The following is a 20,980-nucleotide window of genomic DNA, read 5'->3' as shown; positions in this document are numbered from 1 at the left end:
AGCAAAGGATTTAGAATATCCATAAACTTAGCTGATAAAGCAGCGTCAGGGTTTGAGAGGACTGACTCCAATTTTGAAAGAAGTTCTACTGTGGGTAAAATGCCATCAAACAGCGTCTCATGCTATAGAGAAAACTTTGGTGAAAGGAAGTCAATGGATATGGCAAACTTCATTGTTGTCTTATTTTAAGAAATTGCCACAGCCCACCCAACCTTCAGCAACAACAACCCTGATCAGTCAGCAGCCATCAACATCGAGGCAAGACCCTCCTCTGGCAGAAAGATTACGACTCGCTGAATACTCAGATAATTGTCAATAATTTTTAGTACTAAAGTATTTTTTAATTAAGGTATATATACTTATTTAAAACATAATGCCATTGCACACTTAGACTACAGTATAGTCTAAACATAACTTTAAATGCACTGGGAAACCAAAAAGTTCATGTGACTTTTATTGTGATATTTGCATTATTGCAGTGGTCTGGAACCAAACCCATGTCTCCGAGGTATGCCTGTAATTACGGACTACTAGGTGACAAGGTAGATGCCTTGCTCAATAAAAGGATTTTAACAACCATGTCCCAGATCCCACAAACCAGGAAAGGGCCACAAGTCCCAGACACCAGCCTCCGCTCCCCTGGCCTCTTACCGTCCCGAAACGGTTGTGTCTGCATCTGCAACCGGATCTTGATGAGGTCCACGGGCCCTCCCAGCCCGACAGAGACCACGCCGGCCACCATGCTGGCCAGGAGCAGGTCTGACAGCGTGCGGGGAGGACTGGCCTCTGGCTCCCCGCAGCGGTGCTGGCTGAGGAACCGCTGCGTGTTACTGAAGACCCCAAACACCACGGAGTTGTAGACGGCAATGCTGGCGAGGGGGAAGGACATGCCCTTGAAGAAGCCGAACATCTGCAGTGAAAACCAGAAGGAAGAGGCGTGAGGACCCCGGGCTGCCGTCGCAGAGCCTGCAGGCTGACGGGGTACACCACCGGACACATCTGCCCATGTGTCCATGAAGAGAGGGGAAGAGGGTGCTGATGCGACAGGAGGTAGGGGGTGGGGAACCACTCAGGGGCAGGCATTCTTGCTCCGAGGACAGCCCGGCTTCTGCAGGCCGCTTTGTTTCCTGTGGGTTGTGTCCTGGCCTGGAACCCACACATGCCATGCATGCGCCGGGAGGGGCAGTGATCTTGGGCTGGAAAGAAGTCAGGCTGTGGCCAAGGGGGATCCTGAGGAGACCTTAGGAGCAGTGGGCTGGCCAAGCACCACACGCCCCCACCTCATATACCACAACAGAAACATTCTCCAGGCACTGGCCAGGGGCCAGGCCCTGGGGAGCAACCATAAGGAAGAAACAGCCTCCGCCCTCACTGAGCTCATAATCTGGGGAAAGTGAGGTGTGGAACAGACAAATTGACAGGCAGTTACAACAAAGGCAGTCTACTAAGCCTGTGGTGTAAGACAGGGGTTCCCTAGACCCCCGAGGGGTGCCTGGGCCAGCCTCTAGATGAGTGCCCATGAGCATGGGTGTCTTCTGACAGAAGTGGCTGAAGGGGCCACATAAGGACACAGGATGCGCACACACAGGCTGCAGGAGGCTGAGGAGGGGGTGCTGCAGGCCGGGTTCGGTCCCTTCCACACGGCATTCTTGATGAACACCACAGATGTGCTGAGGAAAACCGGAAAATTCCACAGGCCCTTGGAGGAGTCAGGGCAGCACACGCGTGCCAAATCAAATGTGAGAAAGTACTGGGAAGCTATTGTGCAGACTCCAGGCTGTGCACAAACCCACTAGTCCTCACTGCGCACACTGTACCCTGGCTGCCAGAGGCAGGATGCCTCACACACACCTGCACACGCACACACACGCATATATACACACGTATGCACACACACACACGTGAACACACCCTGCTTCATGCTCTTCTTCCATCACAAGATCCTTCAGATAACTTGGGATGTGGCTTAGCCATGGGCTGCTATGTCTCAGAGAAACCGCCCGCAGTCCCCACCAAAACCCCAGAGCTTGGACACAGACTGGCAGACACTGTCGGGAACATGTGCCAAAAGGAGAATCAACAGCCGCTTTCAGGGGACTGTGGACTCCCACAGCATCACCCGGGAACACCAAGTGCTGGGCTTGCAGCGCTCGCCCCAATTTTAAAGCAGCCGATCAAGGGAGTTACACCACCACCCTGACGCAAGACACACTTCATCCGTGGGAAAACTCTAGGTGCCTGCAGGAGGCTTCCGAGCCCCAGGACACTTGTTAGGATGGAGTCCGGTGGAGACAATGGCTACAGTGGGACCACATTTCCAGTGACTCAGGGAAAAGTCAGAGGGCTGCGACAGGGTTCCACCTGATGGTTTCTTTAAATCAGGTCATTTCATTCAAAATTTTAAAATTTATTCTAAATTCCACAAAGAGGGGCCTCAGAAAGTTTTCCTGAAGCACATGCTGATTCTCAAGAAGGGAGCCTGATGCATCTTCTACAAAGCATCATTCAGTTTTCCCTTCGGAAAAGGAATACCTCAGGTCGCATGGTCTAAAGTGACCTGGGCGCAGGTAAACTCTGGTGTCTAGGCTCAGACACATCTGGCTCCGGCCGGGCCAGATAAAGGGAGGTCTATCAGCACACGGTTTGCCAGTCACTCATTCCTTTGTGAAAAACTGAGCCATCACCTTGTTTTTGCAGGAATTTTCCACACTGCAGCTCCAGATTCTTCAGGATTTCTCCACAGAGGTTACACACAACTGGAGTTTTTCCTCAGTTATGCTGTGGTAGTGGCAGGGGTGAGTTTAGGTAACACATAATATTTGAGGTGTGGTGTGAGATGAAGTAGGGAAAATCAAGCTGAGTGTGAAGAGCAGGATGAGAGGCCCCCACCTGCATGCTGGTGTGGGGCTGTGGCCCTGGTCCCCAGCCTGTGGGGGCCCAGGCAGGCATCACTCCACCCGCCCAAGGGGCACTTACACTCTCCCTCCTGTACACCACGCGGATGCAGCTGAGGGTGTTTCCGTAGCCAACGCCAGCCTGCAGGCGAGTCTATGGAGAGAGGCAAGGACATGGGTCAGCGCAGAGGTTATTCATAGCCCCACTGCTCCGGAGATGCCCAGAGGGAAAGGCCCTGCTCATAGTGACCCCCGCCAGCAAAGGGTCTGGGTTTCAGTCCTGGCCAGGCTGGTGCCCTGTCTCCAGCTTGCACTGCCTCCCTCTAATGTCCCATTCAGACTCACTCAATGCAGAGAAGCCTGCTTTGCTGAGAGAATGGCAAAGGCCAGCTAGTTGTGCCGAATGATTGTATGATCCCCACCTCTTGAGTACAAAAACCTAAACTGGGACTCTACCCTATCTGCTGTCTGTCGCTCCACCCTCCAAAATATATTTGGGGGACACCTGCTCTTCTTGTCCCTAGAACCACCACCCTAGGCCTCACCCCTCATCCTCACCAGAAACATGGCCTGAAGCCCTCCCTGGTCTCCTGCTTCTCCCTCACTTCCTCCATTTCTCTTTACACAACAGGCAGACTGATCATTTTCAAAGGTCAATGAAGCCTCCAGTGGCCTCCCATCAAATGTAGGATAAATTCTGCATTCTCCCTGAGCCTGGGAGGCACCTGTCTCTCACCCCACATGCCATCTCCTCTCCCTGAGCCCTGCATGAGTTGCATGTTCCCAGACCCTAGAGCAGCAATTCTTTCCTGCCTCCAGCCAGCTGCCCCTGCTGTTCCCCACTTCTGGAAGGCTCTTCCTCCAGCTCCTGCTCATCTTTTAGGTCTGAGTCGAAATGTCGCAGTGGCCCTATGTATTTGATTATATAGAGTTTATGTAGGACCACCCAACTAGGGTAGGACCACCTGTGTTACTTTCCTTCCATCCCCAGAGCTGGGCACAACCCTGGCATAGTGGCCCCTTTGCACTGACTGAACAAGGACTGTATGGCTAATGTGTGGTGGCCTCTGATGGAAGCTGGCTTTGGTGACCAGGGGCAGGAGCTGACAGGCATAGAGGGTCTGAGTAAGCCCACCGAAGAGTACCCCTGCCCTAGTCTTAGAGGGTTCCACTTCTTTTAAGACGTGCAGCCTATAATTCTCCATCAAAACACTTTGTCAGCACACACAGCATGTCATGCCTGGGCATGAAGGAGCCATGAGACCACCAAAGAGGAGATACTGGCCCATCCCCATGGAACCCAGTGTGCAGTGAGGGGCTGAGACCCAGAAAAGCAGGCTAGCTCTTCACATGAACTGCCTGAGATCAGCTCTGTAGACAAGTGGAGGAGGCCCTGGAAGAGTACATATAGTTAAAATGGTGATCTCAGAGGTGAAGATCACAGGCGATGTTTTCCTGCATGGGACTTTTCTGTATTTTCCAACTTTCCTACGATAAGCAGATGTTACTTTCATTATTTTTAATTTATGTAGTTTAAAACTAATGTTAAGTACACAACTCGTATGGAAATAAATTCTCTCAAAAACAACAACAACAAATTAATGTCACATGTAAGGCTAAAGCTTCATTGGACCCACCTTCGCTCTCACCCTACTCCTCTCCTGAGTTTATGACCATGGCTAATAACGTGGCCAAGAGTTTGAGAAGCATCCATTTGAATAGTTTTATAAACATATGTAGCCATAGGAAAAATATAGGAAATAGTATCACCCTGTTCATAATTATTACTTTCATAATCAGAGAAGTGTGTTTATTGACTCACTCAACCAATATTTGTTCGGGGCCTATTTTATTGGAGGCACTATTCCAGTCTCAGGGAATTCAGCAGTAAAGAAACCAGAGTCTGCCTTCATGGAACTTACAACCTAGTGGAGTCAGGAAAGATGGTCAATAAAAAATAATTCCCAAGTAAATATATATTTTAGATGAAGACAAGTACTACAGAGGAAAATAAACCAAGGATAAGAAGAGCTGGGTGATAAGAAGGAAAAGGTAATTTTAAATTCAGTGGGGGAGACTCCCTGGAAAATGCAGCAAGATGAGAACTGGGCCTTCAAGGTCTTCTTGTTAAGCAGAACCACAGAGGCCTACCTCGGAGTGGGATGTCCACAACCAGGACAATGACTTGGGCCAGGTGGTGGAGGGGTGCAGGTCTCTCTCTGTGCCCCATGTAAGGCTGTCATGAGGTCCAACACTCTCCCAGGGCTGTCCCTGGAAAGTGAATCCACAAATGGCTGACTGCCACCCACCCCCTGCAACAAGTAATCAATTCCTGCTAAGAAAATTGAGTGGTTGAGTCACTCAAGCCAATAATACATGAAGTGACTCAACCTGAGAGCCAAACCTGGATCACAGAATAATTTCAAAGCCATGGAGCAAAGGTCTGTCAGGCATGCTGAGCACTCGGGTAGGCTGGCACTGAGGCCAGCAGCAAAGCCCAAGTCTCTAGGGCCCCCAGTGATAGCAGGAGAAGGCATTTATTATGCACCAACTGCATACTGACCATCATATAAAATTGACCTCACTAAATCCCACAGATGCTCTAAGGCACGGATACTGGTCCCATCTTACAGATGAACACAACTGACTACTTATATTAGTTTCCTATTGCTGCTGTAACAAATTACCCCAAACTTCATGGCTTAAAACAGCATGAATGCATTATCTCACAGTTCTAAGACCAGAAATCTGAAATGAGTCTCAGTGGGGTAAGATCAGAATGCTGGCAAGGCAGCACTCCCTCGGGAGGCTCTTGAGGAGAATGTGTTTTCTTGTCTCCCCCAGCTTTTGGGGTTCACCCTCTTTCCCGGAGCCCCAGCATCATGGCTCCTCTTCTCTCCCTGCTTCTGTTGTCACATTGTTTTCTTCCTCTTCTGTGGGAAGAAATCTAAATCTCTCTCCACCTCCCTCTTATAAGGACACTTGTAATTACATTTAAGAACCTCCCTGATAATCCAGGATCATCCTCCCATCTCAAGATCCTTAACATAATCATACCTGCAAAGTTTTCTTTTGCCATATAAGATGACATTCACAGGTTCCACAGATGAGGACACAGGCACATCTGGGGACCATTATTCAGTCAACCACACTGCCTCACATGGTTTCCCCAGGAACCTGGCCCCCTCGTTTTGTTCATCCCCAAGGCCTTTCACTCCACAGGACCCCAGAGGCTGCTACTCCCACCAATCTCTAGCCTACTGAGACCAAAACAAGTCTAGTCCAAGCTCTTGACCAGGTGTGGCTGCCCTCAGTGTTGGGTTCTGACCTATACATAGTGTTAGGTATATAATAGATACTCAGTGAACACCTATGAAAGGCAAGAGAGAAGAGAGCTTGGTTCCCTAGCCCAGCTTCAGTGCTTTTAGTTATTATGGAAAATATCTCCAAATCTGAGGTGTCCAGAGCACTCATTTTGGGCCTACAGAATTGATGGTCTTGCCATTATCTTTCTCGTCTCTCCTGGTTATGTAGAATCAAGGCCATTTTAAGACTTGCTTAGATTTTGGACTCTTTCGCTTTTGCAAACCTGCTCATATTGTATCAAGTAAGATAAAATTAAGCATAATTGTATATATTTAATGTACATCCCATATTAATATCATCCACATAGACCTCCATGAAAGCTGAGTTGCATTTGACTATTTAACATGAGGTTATATTTTGTAAATATTTAGTGCAGCATTAATTTTGATTCTGTACTTTTCTTCTTATATACTATACTATTTTCTCAGGTCTCTGACACTTTCTTTGGTCCTTATAGAGAATGGGAGCCCTGGATTGTGTGAATGCAGTGGATACATCTTGAAGATCATGGCCCTTCATGCAATATTTAGCCCAAAACTATGAGCTTCATGTCAGGGGTGCTGTGAATCTCATGCTACTCCAGTTCATGGTTTCTCTCCCATTGGAACCTCTCAGCATCCCAGAGCTGAAAACCCAAGGAGAAGAGGATGAGTGCTCAGTGTCAGAGGTGAGGTGGCTGAAGCCTCAGAGCTCAGAGCTGAGCCACTGCCTGGCCTGCCCCTGACCTGGCAGAGCAAGCCATGCCCTGGCTGTCCTGGGCCAAGATGCATGCCCCAGATTGGACTGGGTAGTGAGGGGGCAGCCTAGAATTGTGGGGAGCATGTTGAAGCAAAACAAGAACCCCCACTGGGATGTTCATGAGAAGGAGGCAGACACCCCCTCCCAAAGCCTGTCCATTGCAGTCCAGTCCCAGTGGTCTACAAGAGTGATCCCCAACATTTTTGGCGCCAGGAACCAGTTTTGTGGAAGACAATTTTTCCAAAGACCAGGGTGGGGTGATGGTTTTGAGGTGAAACCATCAGATAATCAGGCATCAGATTCTCATAAAGAGCGGGCAACCTAGATCCCTCGCATGCGCAGTTCATAATAGGGTTTGTGCTCTTACGAGAATCTAATGCTGCCACTGATCTGAGAGGAAGCAGAGCTCAGGCAGTAATGCTCACTTACCCACTGCTCACCTCCTGCTGTGCAGCCCCGTTCCTAACAGGCCACAGGCTGGTACTGGTACGGTATAGGAGTTGGGGACCCCTGGTCTAGAGGCAGCCAAGCCCTGACTAGAAAACCTAGCCACGCTGCATCAGACATAGGCACCAGCCAGGCCTCCTCAACCTAAGACCACGCAGCCAAGGGCACAGGAATAAGCCTTTCACCTGGGTCAGCAGCACAGGCCCTTGTAGCCGGGTTCTTCCACAGGTGAGTCCCCGGACCCTAGACAAGTGACTGTCTGCCTCCCTGCACTCCAGCCTGTCTATTCTTGATAGTAGCATCATCTCGCTCATTGCTGTATCCTCAGTACCTCCATGAACAAGCTTCATGACAGCCCCACCAGGGAGGTGCTACTTGCCCACTTTACAGACAAGGAATTCAAGGCTCAGGAAGGTTAAGTGCTGTGCCCAGGTCACTGGAGAGTAGGTGATAAGGCCAGGACTGGATTTCCAGTTATTCAGACTTGCCTGGCCCTTTCTTGGTGGACAGGGTCTGTTGAGAAAACATCAGCCAGAAGGAAGGAAAGAAGGTGTGCTGGAGTGCAACAGGGGCACTCAGGCTGAACAAAGACTGGATGTCATGTTTCAGGAGGGCTTCCCTCCAGAGCTTCAGGGCAGAGTGCAGAGAAGGGAGAAAGCCCAGCCTTTTCAGGCAACTGTGGCCAGGGAGCTCCACTCCTGTAAATTGTGCTAAATCCAATGGCTAGTGTCCTTAGGAAGGATGGGCAGATCTGACACACAGAGACTCAGAGGGGAGGCCATATGAAGACAGGCAGGGCCTGGAGTTACAGAGCCACTGCCCAAGGAATGCCGAGCACTGCAGCAGGCACTGGAAGCTGGTAGAGGACCATGTGGCAGGTTCTCCCTCGGAGCCTCCAGAAGGCATCAACACCTTGGTTTTGGACTTCCTGCTTCCTGACTTGCGAGGAAATAAATTTCTACTGTTTTAAGCCACCCAGTTTGTGGTTATTTGTTACAGCAGCCCAAGGAAACTAATTCATACCCTCAAATTTTTACCATTAAATCCCTCACACCCAACAGTGACTTGTTACCAACTCACTTATATTAAGTCAGCCTGGGTTTTACAGAAACAACAGCCCTTTTCCTTGCCGAGATGCTAGGCCTCTGGTAGGCAGTTCCATGGTCAGGGACTGAGCATGCCACTTGGAGAATGCTTGTTCATCTTTTGAGGTGTCCCACTGACCCCCAAAGAGAAATTTATAAATACCATTTAAATCAGAGAATTGAAACACATTCTCCAATTTTGGTTAAAATCTTGCTGGACATTGTCACATGATGTGGTAACTGAGCAAAACTTAATATATATCGAATGATGTTGATAAAAATAGCAGCTACCGATTTTGAATCCCTGCTAGGTACCAGAAACAATGCTTATAATCTTACACTGACCCTGTAAGCCAAGGATTTGTATCGTGTTTAACAGAAGGCTATGCAATCAGGAAATGGCAAAAACAGGATTCACACCTAGAGCCTGCGTGGTTCCAAAGCCCATGCTTTCTGGCTTGGCCATGCTGCCTCCCCACTGATCCATTCTTGTGAACTGGTTTGTTGAATGAACCCTGGAGAAGACAGACTGGGAATGACTTAGGTGAGTTTGGGAGGGTGAGAATTGCCAGGAACAACCAGCACTCTCATGGAGACATTAGGGAGTGCATCTGAGTCTTCCAAGTCTCCCCAAGGCCCAGCCCTGGAGAGGTATGCAGCAGGCACCTTGAACTTGGCTGAGGTCCCAGATGGCCACTCATTCAGCAGGTACTCACCCAGGGAGGCTGTGCCCAGCCCCGTGCTGAGGTGCACTCTGAACAGGAGAGAGTCAGAGGCCACAGGCTAGGGAAGCCAGGCCTGGGCACGGTAACTAGCCAGCTCTCATGGAGGGTGGAGAGGGCTCAGTGGGCAGCTACCACAGAGGTGGAAAAGGTTTCTAAGGACCTGGCTTAGCTCTGGACAGCCCTGGGGAGTGCCAGACATGGGCCCTAACTCTGGGCAGCAATGGCTCAGCCGTGATATGCTAGTAAGTCCACTTCAGACATGAACTTGCTGCACAGCCCTCCTTGGTGGGCTCTGGGACCCAGGGCCTGGGTGTGCAGGGCTGGCAGGAGGCACGCAGCAAGGCCCCTAGCACACTCTGCAATCCCATTCTCCCTTGGCCTCTCCAAGCACCTGCACCACACCACTTGCTCAGCTCACTGTGTGCACCACACACACACTGGCCTTCTTTGTTTTCCTGGAGAATGTACATCGCAGCCTGTTCCCACCCTTGGGGCTTTGCACTAGCTTGTCCCTCTGTGAATAGCACTCTGACCTCAGTTCTGCGTATCTGGCTCTTTGTGTCATCTGAGTCTCAACTTAGCTGCCTCCCTGGCAGAGAGGCCATCCCTGACTCTTCAAAATACAGAAGGCTCTCATCACTGTGTTTGCCATCACCTTGTGTTATTGTCCCCCAGCACCTACCACTGTCCATAACTGATTTGTGCATCTGTTGTGTTCCCTAATTATTGTCCATCAGTGTCCTAAAAATATCTGTCTCCTTGCCTGCCTCCCTCACTCCTGAGTCCTCAAAGCCTAGGTCAGCCCAGAAGTAAAATTTACTTTGGAGCTTTGAATCCAGCACTACAATGCCCGGCTCTGAGGTCTGGGGCAGGTTCCTAAACTCTGCACCTTACCCCCCTCCTATATAAAATGGGAAGATTATACCATTTCAGGAGGGTAGACTAAGCCTGCTTCACTCACCACTTTGTGTGCCCATCTCCCAGCACTGGGTCCTGCCTGCCATCCCCCTGCATTGGGATGTCCCCTGGGGAGCCTAAACGCCCCCCTTTACTACTTAAAGTGTTTCTTCAAATATTTAAAACAGGTAGGCTGATCTTCCCATCAAGAGGGTGAGCATGGGCCCTGACCTAGGAGAGGGTCCATTTTCATACAGGGAGCAAGATGGGGAGAAAGGACATTGCAGCAGCCATTTGAAAACGGTCTGTGAGGCTCCTCTCTGTGCACAATCCAGGCAGAGCTTTAGAAATGGATCTGGAAGGCAGTCAGCAGTGAGGAGGCACAATTTATGGCTCCGTTCCCAGAGCATAGCTCTAAATTCTGCTCACCACTGGGGACGGGTGCAGGGGTGGGGATGGGGTGAAAGACTGCTCCTTTGCAGCATCTCGCACCTCAGTTTTTAACTTGTTGTATGATCTGAGATGAGCCCCTTCCCCTTTCTAGGGAACATCCCAGAACAAGGGGCTTGGATAATCCCAATGCCAGGAAGGTCCCAACAGCCCCAGAGTCCTCACACCCATGTGCATCATCAGGTAATGATAGGTTCCCATCTCCAATCTACTTCTAAAGTTCTACCTGGACCTCTGAGGGTTCTGAACCTAAACCAGACCTCCTGGCACCCAACACCCCCTGGACTGGCAACAGAGAGTCTGCCCTGGGCAGAAGACTCTCTGAGAGATTAGAAACAGCAGGAATAGTCCCAGAGGCAGGTCAGCTCCATGCCTCTTTTTAAGAGGTAATGGGAAACATGGCTACTGTACCTTGACTGTGTCCAGAGGGTGGCCAACGATGACACTGGCTGCACCTGTGGATCAAAAAAGAATGCCTAGTAACTCAGCCCTTGGACTCCTGGCTTACACCAGCCAGCTCTTGGGACAAAACAGGCACTTGTTTAGTCAACGGTCAATTGCTGGGGTAGGGGGAGTGGGTGGGCTCCAATGTGCTAGGCACTGGCCCATGCACCAAGGAAGGCAGAGAAAATAGAGTAAAACAAGCAATCACTCCATAAAAGGAAGGCAAAGGGACTGGGACAAGTGGATATTCACAGGCAAAAGGGTGAAAGAGTGGAGATAGACCCCCTACCTCATACCATATACAAAATTAAATCAAAATAGATCAAAGACCTAAATGGGAGAGCAAAACTATAAGATTCTTAAACTAAAACATAGAAAAAAATCTTGACCTGTGATTTGCAATGGACTCTCAGATATGATACCAAGTGTACAACCAACCGAAGGAGTGAAGGACATGCCATACCAAAATATAGCAGATGGGTGCATTGATTATTTCAAGTTGAAAAGATTGAGAAATCATAACTTCTGAAAGGCTGAACTGACCTGCCTCTTCCTGCATGCAGCAAGCAATAAAGATTCCTCTGGGAGGGTTACCCTCTCCATACCAGGGTAAGAAAATAGCCCTTATTAGCTGGGATTCAGAACTGAAGGCTGCAGTGGCCCTGAATTCATACTTAATGAAGTAATCCTTATCTTCCACCTGTTTTATACCCCCCACCCACACATCTCCTAGTGACTCCTCTAGCAAAATTCCACCACCCTAGCCAGATTTTCTTTGTCCTGTCATTTCTTCTCAAATTGATCACTCTTTGTCTAAAAAGTATGAAAAGATCTTGCTTTGGCCACTTCTCCCAACTTCACTCTCTTGTGAAGATCCCTATGTCATGAAAAACTAATAAAATCTGTATTATTTTTCTCTTGTTAATCAGTCTGGTGTCAATTTGGTTTTTATATTCAGCTGAAGAGCCCAGTAGGAGCTAAACAGGGGGTTGGAGTTTATCTCTAACTCCCCTACACAACACAAGAAATAATAACATTCATAAAAATTGAAAACTTTTGCACACAAAAGTGAAGACATCCTACAGAATGGAAGAAAATGTGTGGAAATCACGTATTTGATAAGGATTTAGTATTCATATATAGGAAGAACTCTTACAACTGACTAAAATAATTTTAATGGGCAAAGGACTTGCACACACGTTTCTCCAAAGATGATATACAGATGACCAACAGACACATGAATAGATGCTCAACATCTGTAGTCATTTGGGAAATGCAAATTGAAACCACAATGAGATACGTCTTCACACGCACTAGGATAGCTACAATTGAAAAAAAGTGGAAAAGAACTGTTGGCAAGGATGTAGAGAAATTGGAACTCTTGTACATTGCTGGTAGAAATGTAAAATCATACAGCCATGGTGGAAACAGTTTGGCAATTCCTCAAAAAAGCTAAACATAGAGTTACAACCTAACCCAACAATTCAATTCCTACATATATACCCAATAACAGAAAACAGATACTAAAACAAGTACAAGTACCACACATCACGGCAACATTGTTCACAATAGCCAAAAATGCCCATCAACTGGTGTATGAATGCCCATCAACTGGTGTATGAATAAACAAAATGTGGGATATTTATACAGAGGAATACTGTTTGGCAATAAAAATAAATGAACTATTGATGCATGCTACAGCATAGATGCACCTCCAAAACATTATGCTAAATTAAAAAGGCCAGACACAAAAGGCAAGGTATTGTGTGACTCTACCTATATGAATTACCCAGAATAGGCAAATCCATAAAGACAGAAACTAAGTTAGTGGTTGCCAGGACTGGGAAGAGGTGGAAATGGGAGTGACTCTTGAAGCGTACAGCATCTTCTTTGGTCATGAGAAAAATGTTTTGGAACTAGATAGAAGTGATGGTTGCACAGTGTTGTGAATGTAATACATGCCACTGAATTATACACTTTCAAATGGTTTTCTATTATATTAATTTCAGCTCAAAAAGCGGGGTAGGGTATGTGTAAAGAAAAAACCTGAAAACTTTTCAGTTACCTGCAGGTTACTTAACTTCTCTATGTCTCACTTTTAGCATGCATAGAGTGGGAATAATAACAGCACCTACCTCCTGCTTCCATGGTAAGAATGAAATCCAGTAATGCATATAAAATACCTAGCAGAGAGCCTGACACCTATAGGATGCTCAAATGTGAGTGATGTCACCATAGAATTTTTTTAAAAGAAGACCTCTTTGGAAAAGTGATGAATACACTGTACCTTTTCACAGAAAAAAATACCTACACACACACACTCAAAAGACCTGTACAATTTGAAGAGAACCAAGGCTGCCCTAAGGCCACTTAGATTAAGAAGCCCTTTGTATTAGTTTGTTCTCATGCTGCTATCAAAGACATGCCCAAGCCTGGGTAATTTATAAAGGAAAGAAGTTTAATCAACTTACAGTCCCACATAGCTGGGGAGGCCACACAATCATGGTGGAAGGTGAAGAAGGAGCAAGTCATGTCTTACATGGCAGAAGGCAAAAAGAGAGCTTGGGGAACACCATTTTATAAAGCCATCAAGTCTCATAAGACTCATTCACTACCACAAGAACAGCACAGGAAAACTCGCCCCCATGATTCAATTACCTCCCACTGGGTCTTTCCCATGACACATGGGTCTCTCCCATGACATATTATGGGAGCTATAATTCAAGACGAGATTTGGGTGAGGACACAGCCAAACTATATCATTCCACTCCTGGCCCCTCCCAAATCTCATGTCCTCACATTTCAAAACAAATCATGCCTTCCCAACGGCGCCCCAAAGTCTTAACTCATTTCAGCATTAACTCAAAAGTCCACAGTCCAAAGTCTCATCTGAGACAAGGCAAGTCCCTTCCACTTATAAGCCTGTAAAATCAAAAGCAAGTTAGTTACTTCCTAGAAACAATGGGGGTACGAGCATTGGGTAAATACACCTGTTCCAAAAGGGAAAAATTGGCCAAAACAAAGGGGCTACAGGCTCCATGCAAGTCTGAAATCCAGTGGGGCAACCAAATCTTAAAGCTCTGAAATGATCTCCTTTGTTCCATGTTTCATATCCAGGTCACACTAATGCAAGAGGTGGGTTCTCATGGTCTTGGGCAGCTCCATCCTGTGATTTTGCAGAGTACAGCCTTCCTCCCAGCTGCTGGCATGAGTGTCTCCCAGGAGTTAGCAAATGCTATCAACATAGCTCATCTGCATGCCCCACTGCAAAGGAAAGTGCTCTGAGAGGTCACCATCAGGGAAGAAACTGAGGGAGAAAGGAAATGGGGTTTCTTTTTTAAAAAATAATTTTATAAAAAATTATAATACCCATGAGGCTGGCAATGAGTGTCTGTGGCTTTTCCAGGTGCATGGTGCAAGCTGTAAGTGGATCTACCATTCTGTGGTCTGGAGGATGGTGGCTCTCTTCTCACAGCTCTACTAGGCATTGCCCCAGTGGGGACTCTGTGTGGGACTCCCACCCTACATTTCCCATCCACACTGCCCTAGCAGAGGTTCTCCATGAGGGCCCCACCCCTGCAGCCAACTGCAGCAAACTTCTGCCTGGACATCCAGGCATTTTCATACATCCTCTGAAATCTAGATGGCAGTTCCCAAAGCTCAATTCTTGACTTCTATCCACCCACAGGCTCAACACCATGTGTAAGCTGCCAAGGCTTGGGGCTTGCACCCTCTGAAGCCACAGCCCAAGCTGTACCTTGGCCCCTTTCAGCCATGGCTGAAGTGGCTAGGACACAGAGCACCAAGTCCCTAGGCTGCACAGAGCAGAGGTCCCTGGGCCCAGCCCAGGAAACCATTTTTTCCTCCTAGGCCTCTGAGTCTGTGATGGGAGGGGCTGTCACCAAGGTCTCTGACATGCCCTGCAGATATTTACCCCACTGTCTTGGTGATAAACATTTATCTCCTTGTTACTTATGCAAATTTCTGCAGCAGGCTTGAATTTCTCCCCAGATAATGGGTTTTTATTTTCTATTGCATTGTTAGGCTGCAAATTTTCCAAGCTTTTATGATCTGCTTCGCTTTTAAACATAAGTTCCAATTCCAAACCATATCTTTGTGAATACATAAAACTGAATGCTTTTAGCAGCACCAAAATCACATCTTGAATGCTTTGCTGCTTAGTAATTTCTTCCACCAGATACCCTAAAACATCTCTCTCAAGTTCAAAGTTCCACAGATCTCTAAGGCAGGGGCAAAATGTCACCAGTCTCTTTGCTAAAACATAGCAAGAGTCACCTTTATTCCAGTTCCCAACAAGTTCCTCATCTCCATCTGAGACCATCACAACCAGGACTTCATTGTCCATATCACTACCAGCATTTTGGTCAAAACCATTCAACAAGTCTCTAGGAAGCTCCAAACTTTTCCACATTTTTCTGTCTTCTTCTGAGCCCTTCAAACTGTTCCAACATCTGCCTGTTACCCAGTTCCAAAGTTGCTTCCACATTTTCAGGTATCTTTACTGTAACATCCCACTCTACTGGTACCAACTTACTGTATTAGTCCATTCTTATTCTGCTAATAAAGACATTACTGAGACTGGGTAATTTACAAATGAAAGAGATTTAATTGACTCACTGTTCTACATGGCTGGGGAGGCCACACAATAATGGTAGAATGTTAAAGAGGAGCAAAGTCACATCTTACATGGTGCCAGGGAAAAAGAGAGCTTGTGTAGGGAACTCCCCTTTATAAAGCCATTGGATCTCATGAGACTTATTCACTACCATGAGAACAGCATGGGAAAGCCTGTACCCATGATTCAATTACCTCCCACAGGGGTCCCTCCCATGACATGTGGAATTATGGGAGCTACAATTCAAGATGAGATTTGGGTGGGGAAACAGCCAAACCGTATCAGCCTTGTTGCAGCAGTTAGTGACTGAAATTGAAAGGGAAACTGTTCTTCAAAGACAAATTCCCGAGAACACTGAGGAGGAAGGAAATATCTGTGTTAGTAGAGGTGATTTAACCAGGTAGCTAAGGGCTCCTGGAATATTAGATATTTATAGGGACAAAGAAACCAGCTAATCCCAGAACAATGATTCCCTGGGTCCAGAACCACCTGTCCCCTCTTATCCCCTCCTACCTACTAAACTGGGCAGAGGCAGAGAGGTGATGGCAGTAATTAACCCTTCCCAGTAGTGGGGGGAGGTGCGCTGGTCCTCAGGCTCCATGGCTTCCCCCATAGTGAGTGCACACATCCTTCAGCTCAGGGCAGGCTTAGATCCAGCCTTGGGCCAACATCTCCCTGCCACTTATTAGCCCACCCATCTGAAAGCAGGGGATTTGAGATTTAAAAAAATGGGATTATAAGGTCAGTGATTTCCAGACCTTGGCACTTCACAAACCAGTAAAATCTCAAACAAAATGTGTGTGTGTGTGGGGGGGGGGGGTGGGGGGGGGGATAATATCAAAAAAAGGGCAAAATTTTGTTATGCAAGGTTGTTCAGAAAGAGTTAAGATGAAATTAAGATGGCAGATTCTGGTGCCAGGCAGCCTGGGTTGGAATCCTGGTGCCAATGCTAGATGCATGGTCTTAGGCAAGTCAGTGAATTTCTCTGTATCTCAGTTTCCTCATCTGTAAAATAAGGATGCAACGGTACCTACCTCTTTGGGGTTGTTATAATAATTAAAGAACTATACATAAACTGACACAAGAGATCACATATTGCAAGATTCAATTGACATAACATATACAGGAAAGGCAAATTTACAGAAAGGAGATTAAGGAGAGGGAACAGCATTCAACTTCAAATGAGGGATCTTACTGGGGGATGAAAATGTTCTAAAACAAATTTATGGTGATGGTTGCACCTCTTTGTAAAATTACTAAAAGACATTGAATTGTACATTTGAAATGGGTGAATTTTATAATACATAAAATAAACCTTGATAAAATTGTTTTAAAAGAATACATATAGCACTTAAACTATACCTGGCACCTAGTAAGTATTCAAGTGTAGTAAACACTTACCATCATTTCATGGAAGCCAAAAAAAAAAAAAGCCATGTTATTAGTTTGGTGCAAAAGTAATTGCGATTTTTGCCATTACTTTCAATAACATCACCAAAGTAAGGACCAGAATAAAGCACAAAAATCCCCTACTTGCTGTGAGTCGGGGAGGGTTCACATGTTATCACGTTTGGGGATGGGGAGGGGTATCAGAGTCTTGGAACTACTCTGACTCAGCCCTACCTTCCAGGGCATTTTTCAAACCAAGCCATTTGCATCCCTACCGAAGGTGGTCTGCTTATTTAAGGGGCAGCCCACGGAAGTGTCTCCTCTCTCTGCCTGCCCCGCTGAATGGTGGAATAATTGTCCAGTCAAAAAGGACCTGGATATGCCCAGCGGGCCTCAGGCTGCAGCCCCCTAACTGGGAAAGTTAGGAGAGGCGGGTCTCAGCCCCACCCAAGGGCATCTGTGCCAACAGACTTACTCAAGGTGAAAGGAGCCACCTCTGCTCAGGAAGGTGTGAAGCAGGGCCCTGCAGCCACCGGTCTCGGGAGAGAGGTGGTCTCCTGCTAGGTAGGAGGGGAGGAGTTGGGATCCAATCTGGTTTGTTGTTCTTTTCATCTTATTTTTTCACCCCTTTGGTGAGGGGCTACATTTGCCAACATCCCTTTTAGGATAACCCTTTTAGATGGGTCCAAAGAAAGACTTTTTTTTTTTTTTTTTTTTTTTTTTACAATTAGCAAAGTCCCTCAAACTTCCCCCTTTCCTAATAGCTGAGAAAAGAGGGATAGACCAATTGGAAAGAAAAATGGAGAAGCAAGGAAATGAATGCAACTCTCGCCCAGGCAACCCATCCCAGGCCCAGTAAAAGAGTGGCTTCGGGAGCTGTGGCGAAGGGATCAGCAGACCCAACAGTGCCCGGAGAAGGGGCCTTGGAGGTAGGCGATGGCTGACGGTTGGCGGCGGCTGAAGGCAATAAGTGCTCCTCGCAGCCTGGCAATGGGCACCTGCAGCCGGCGCTCCGCTCCCTGCTGTGAGAGCTCTGCTCCCTCCAGTCGGGACGCCCCGTTGGGCCGGCCTAATCTCGAAGCCTGGCTCCCACCACCCTGCGCCCCGGGATCAGCAGCCAAGCGCTACCCTCATACATAAGTTCCCGCGAGCCACGTCCGCAATTCAGGTGTGCACCAGGTCACTGAAGGGTGTGTGCGCCGCCAGGAGCCTCCATTGGCTGTGGGCTTTGACGAGCTGTTTAATCATTACCTCATCAAGTCCCACGGATCCTAACTTAATGAGCAAATCAGAAGCTCAGCCCGAAACGCTGTGAAGCTCTCAGAATTTAGCCCTGGCAACTGCAAGACCACCAGGGGGATCTCGGGGCCGGGCACTCCCCAAAGCAGGCTGCGCGCACAACGGGGAGCGGGATGGCAGCGCACAGAGGCAAAGTTTCCTCAGAGCATAGAGGCAAACTCCGCCAGGCTCGCTCTCTCTGACCGGGGGTCCCCGGTAAGCACACTCACCTCCGATCCAGCCCGCCGCAAAGTCTTCCAGCTGGAAGCTTCCCATGGCCGGCGCTCGGTCTCGCCCTCCCGGAGCCGGGGCAGTGCCCACTTAGAGTCAGTGGGGCATGGCCCGCGGGCGCGAGCGCGCCGCAAGACCGAAGTCGGAGTCTCGAGCACGCCGCAGGTCCTACTCCAAACCCAGTCCCCCAGTCACCGGCTGCGCGGGCTGCCGCGCTCACCTCTCCAAGTGCCGGAGGGCGGCTGACATCACGCCCCCAGTGGACCTTAAAGGCACAGCACTCTGGGTGGATAAGGGTGCGCTCCGCGCGGCTCATCCCAGACACAAAGAGGCAAGGGTCATCAAGTGAAATTCTCTTAGTCCTCCCTTCTCCGGGTTATCCTCTTCCTTGCCAACTTCAGAGCCTCAGCGCCTTTGAACTGAAAGTGCCAGCCGCCCATCCAGAGACGGCAATGCGCGTATCTCCCTGTACTGTGCTGTGCTGACAATGCTGATTCCAATCAGCTGTGGACTCTCTCCCATCCCAACTCTGGGCAGTGATGCCTTTTTGTTCATCTCAGCCATGTCCCACTCAGTACCCCGTGCCTAGAGCAGGCACCTGGTGGTTCAGGGTCATGTCTAACTTTCAGCTACAGCTCTCTAGGGGCCCAGCTCCCTGCCTGGCCCTGGCTCACCCTACACTGTCCGCCCTGGGCCAACAGAAGGCAGAGGTGGTGCTCTGTACCTCAAACTCCCTCTCTGTAGGCAGACCCTACATTCAGCCAGGCCCCAGGCCAGGGGTCCGTGCTCACTGGAGAAGTGGCCTGCTGTGCGGAGAGGCTTTTGATTACAATGAGAGTGTCTTTCCTCCCTTCCTAAGAAGACTCGAAGCCCCCCAGCGTTCTGCTAGTTTCCAGCAGGGACTCAGCTGTGGGTCTCAGCCAAGACACCCCAAGGTTGACAAGAATGGTGAAGGGTATGGTCAGGAGGAAGGGGCCTCTGCTGGGCCTGCTCTTGTCCCACTGGGCATATTCATGTCACGTCATCCAGGTTAATATGAAGCGACAGCCAGCCAGACCTCCTTCTTCCAAAGCAAGACAGAGCCTGACCACCGAAGCTTGATCCTACAAAGGCCTGTCCACTGAGGAGTGGGGACTTGGAGGTGAAGGGACCTTCCTGCAGCATCACTCCCTCCCCTGCCCCGGCACACAGAGAGTGGACCTGTATCGGGAGAGGACAGCCCGGGATGGAGTCGCCGGCCTGGCTAGGGAAGTATTGCAAAGTTCCAGGGAGGAGTGGAAGCATCACACCCCATCCCGGCACCTCAACTTCCTGCTGCTTATGGTGACCCACTCAGTCTTGAGGCTTCAGAGTTGCCATCAGCATCAACCCCAAGCTGTGCCCTGTCATGCCCGGGATATATGCCTAGGGCTGCTATGAGAAATGCAGGTCTCTGAAGAGTGGCCTTTTACTGAGTTCACCATTGGAATGCATCCACAAGTGGAAAGCCTGACAATTCTCAAAACCCACTCCTCTGGAAGACCACCTAAGGGGTGCCAGGCAGTTTGTCATCCCCTCAGTCCTGTGTCAGCACCAATTGAGGAGGTCTTACGTTGGCAGGCAGTGTCCCTGGCAGCCCAGGATGGCCTCCCAGGCCCAGAAAGCTGCTGCTTGAACTACTAACGAGCTGGAGCAGAGCAGGAGTGGGTTGCTTTCCAAAATGAATTACTGTGCTCCATTCCCATATGCATGCCACAAACCTGCCCATGGGGCGCATCACCCAGGGAAGTGAGGGGAGGACCCTAGGTTTACCAGCAACCATGGCCAGGCCTGGAGAATCCCAGACCACAGGGCTATGAGCCCAGGCAGAATGCTGGCTCTGTGGCCAGGATCCAGGCCATCCCTTCTTCCTGGCCTTCGCACTTCAGAGCACCATTTGCAGTGTGCTGCCATTCACATTTGCATTCTACACTCGGGAGAGGGCAGGGCAGCTACTGGCCATTACAGAGAGAAAGAAACTCCACAGAGATCCACTCCCTGCATGACTAGGGCCAGAAAGCAACCCCATTTTCTTTCTCCCTCAGTTCCTTCCCCAATGATGACCTCTCAGAGCACTTTCCTCAGTAGCAGGACATGCAGATGGGCTATGCTGATAGCATTTGTTAACTAGTGGCCCACTCCCCATTTCTTATTTACCCTTTCAGGCCACAGCAATTTCCTGAGCATCAGTCTGTGCTAGTGCCTTGCTTTGGGGAAAGTCTCTGTTTGAGAGGAGACAATCCATCTGAGATGCTACACAGAGGTGGCTGTAAGAGCACTGGAGAGGGAGTCCATCGTTCTACAGGAAGCAATCAGGGAAGGCTCTCCAAACTTGGAGTCTCCTGGCTGCACCTTTAGTCTACACAGCCCCACAGCTCCCAC

At 48.7% G+C, this 20,980-nt stretch overlaps 1 protein-coding gene across 19 annotated transcripts in view, besides 1 other annotated feature; it reads right to left on the bottom strand.

Moving 5' to 3' along the window:
* The window catches only part of SLC25A48 (solute carrier family 25 member 48), a 309,466-nt gene that overhangs the window by 35,165 nt on the left and 253,321 nt on the right, over positions 1-20,980 (bottom strand). For 16 of the 19 annotated variants that reach the window (NR_146141.2, NM_001349336.2, XM_006714550.2 and 13 more), the window contains exons 1-4: positions 18,580-18,810; positions 11,014-11,057; positions 2,977-3,048; positions 652-910 (exon numbers count right to left, since the gene is read on the bottom strand). Coding sequence is in view for 18 of the 19 variants with exons in the window: in NM_001349336.2 (NP_001336265.1) it covers positions 652-910; positions 2,977-3,048; positions 11,014-11,057; positions 18,580-18,625 (421 nt within the window). In the remaining variant the exon portion in view is untranslated. Of the gene's footprint in view, positions 1-651; positions 911-2,976; positions 3,049-11,013; positions 11,058-18,207; positions 18,432-18,579; positions 18,811-20,980 lie in introns of those variants that run through there. The other 3 variants (NM_001349335.2, NM_001349345.2, XM_047416805.1) reach the window with 2 other exon arrangements.
* Positions 19,344-19,845: an enhancer, noted in NCBI's record as "H3K4me1 hESC enhancer chr5:135169317-135169818 (GRCh37/hg19 assembly coordinates)". NCBI's record gives its function as "activates a minimal SCP1, AML or CMV promoter by ChIP-STARR-seq in naive H9 embryonic stem cells {active_cell/tissue: H9 hESC(naive)}" and the evidence as "EXISTENCE:reporter gene assay evidence [ECO:0000049][PMID:30033119]".

Source organism: Homo sapiens, chromosome 5 (assembly GCF_000001405.40).
Source record: "Homo sapiens chromosome 5, GRCh38.p14 Primary Assembly".
In the NCBI taxonomy this organism is placed as follows: Eukaryota; Metazoa; Chordata; class Mammalia; order Primates; family Hominidae; genus Homo; species Homo sapiens.
This window is presented reverse-complemented; position numbering and strand designations above follow the sequence as displayed.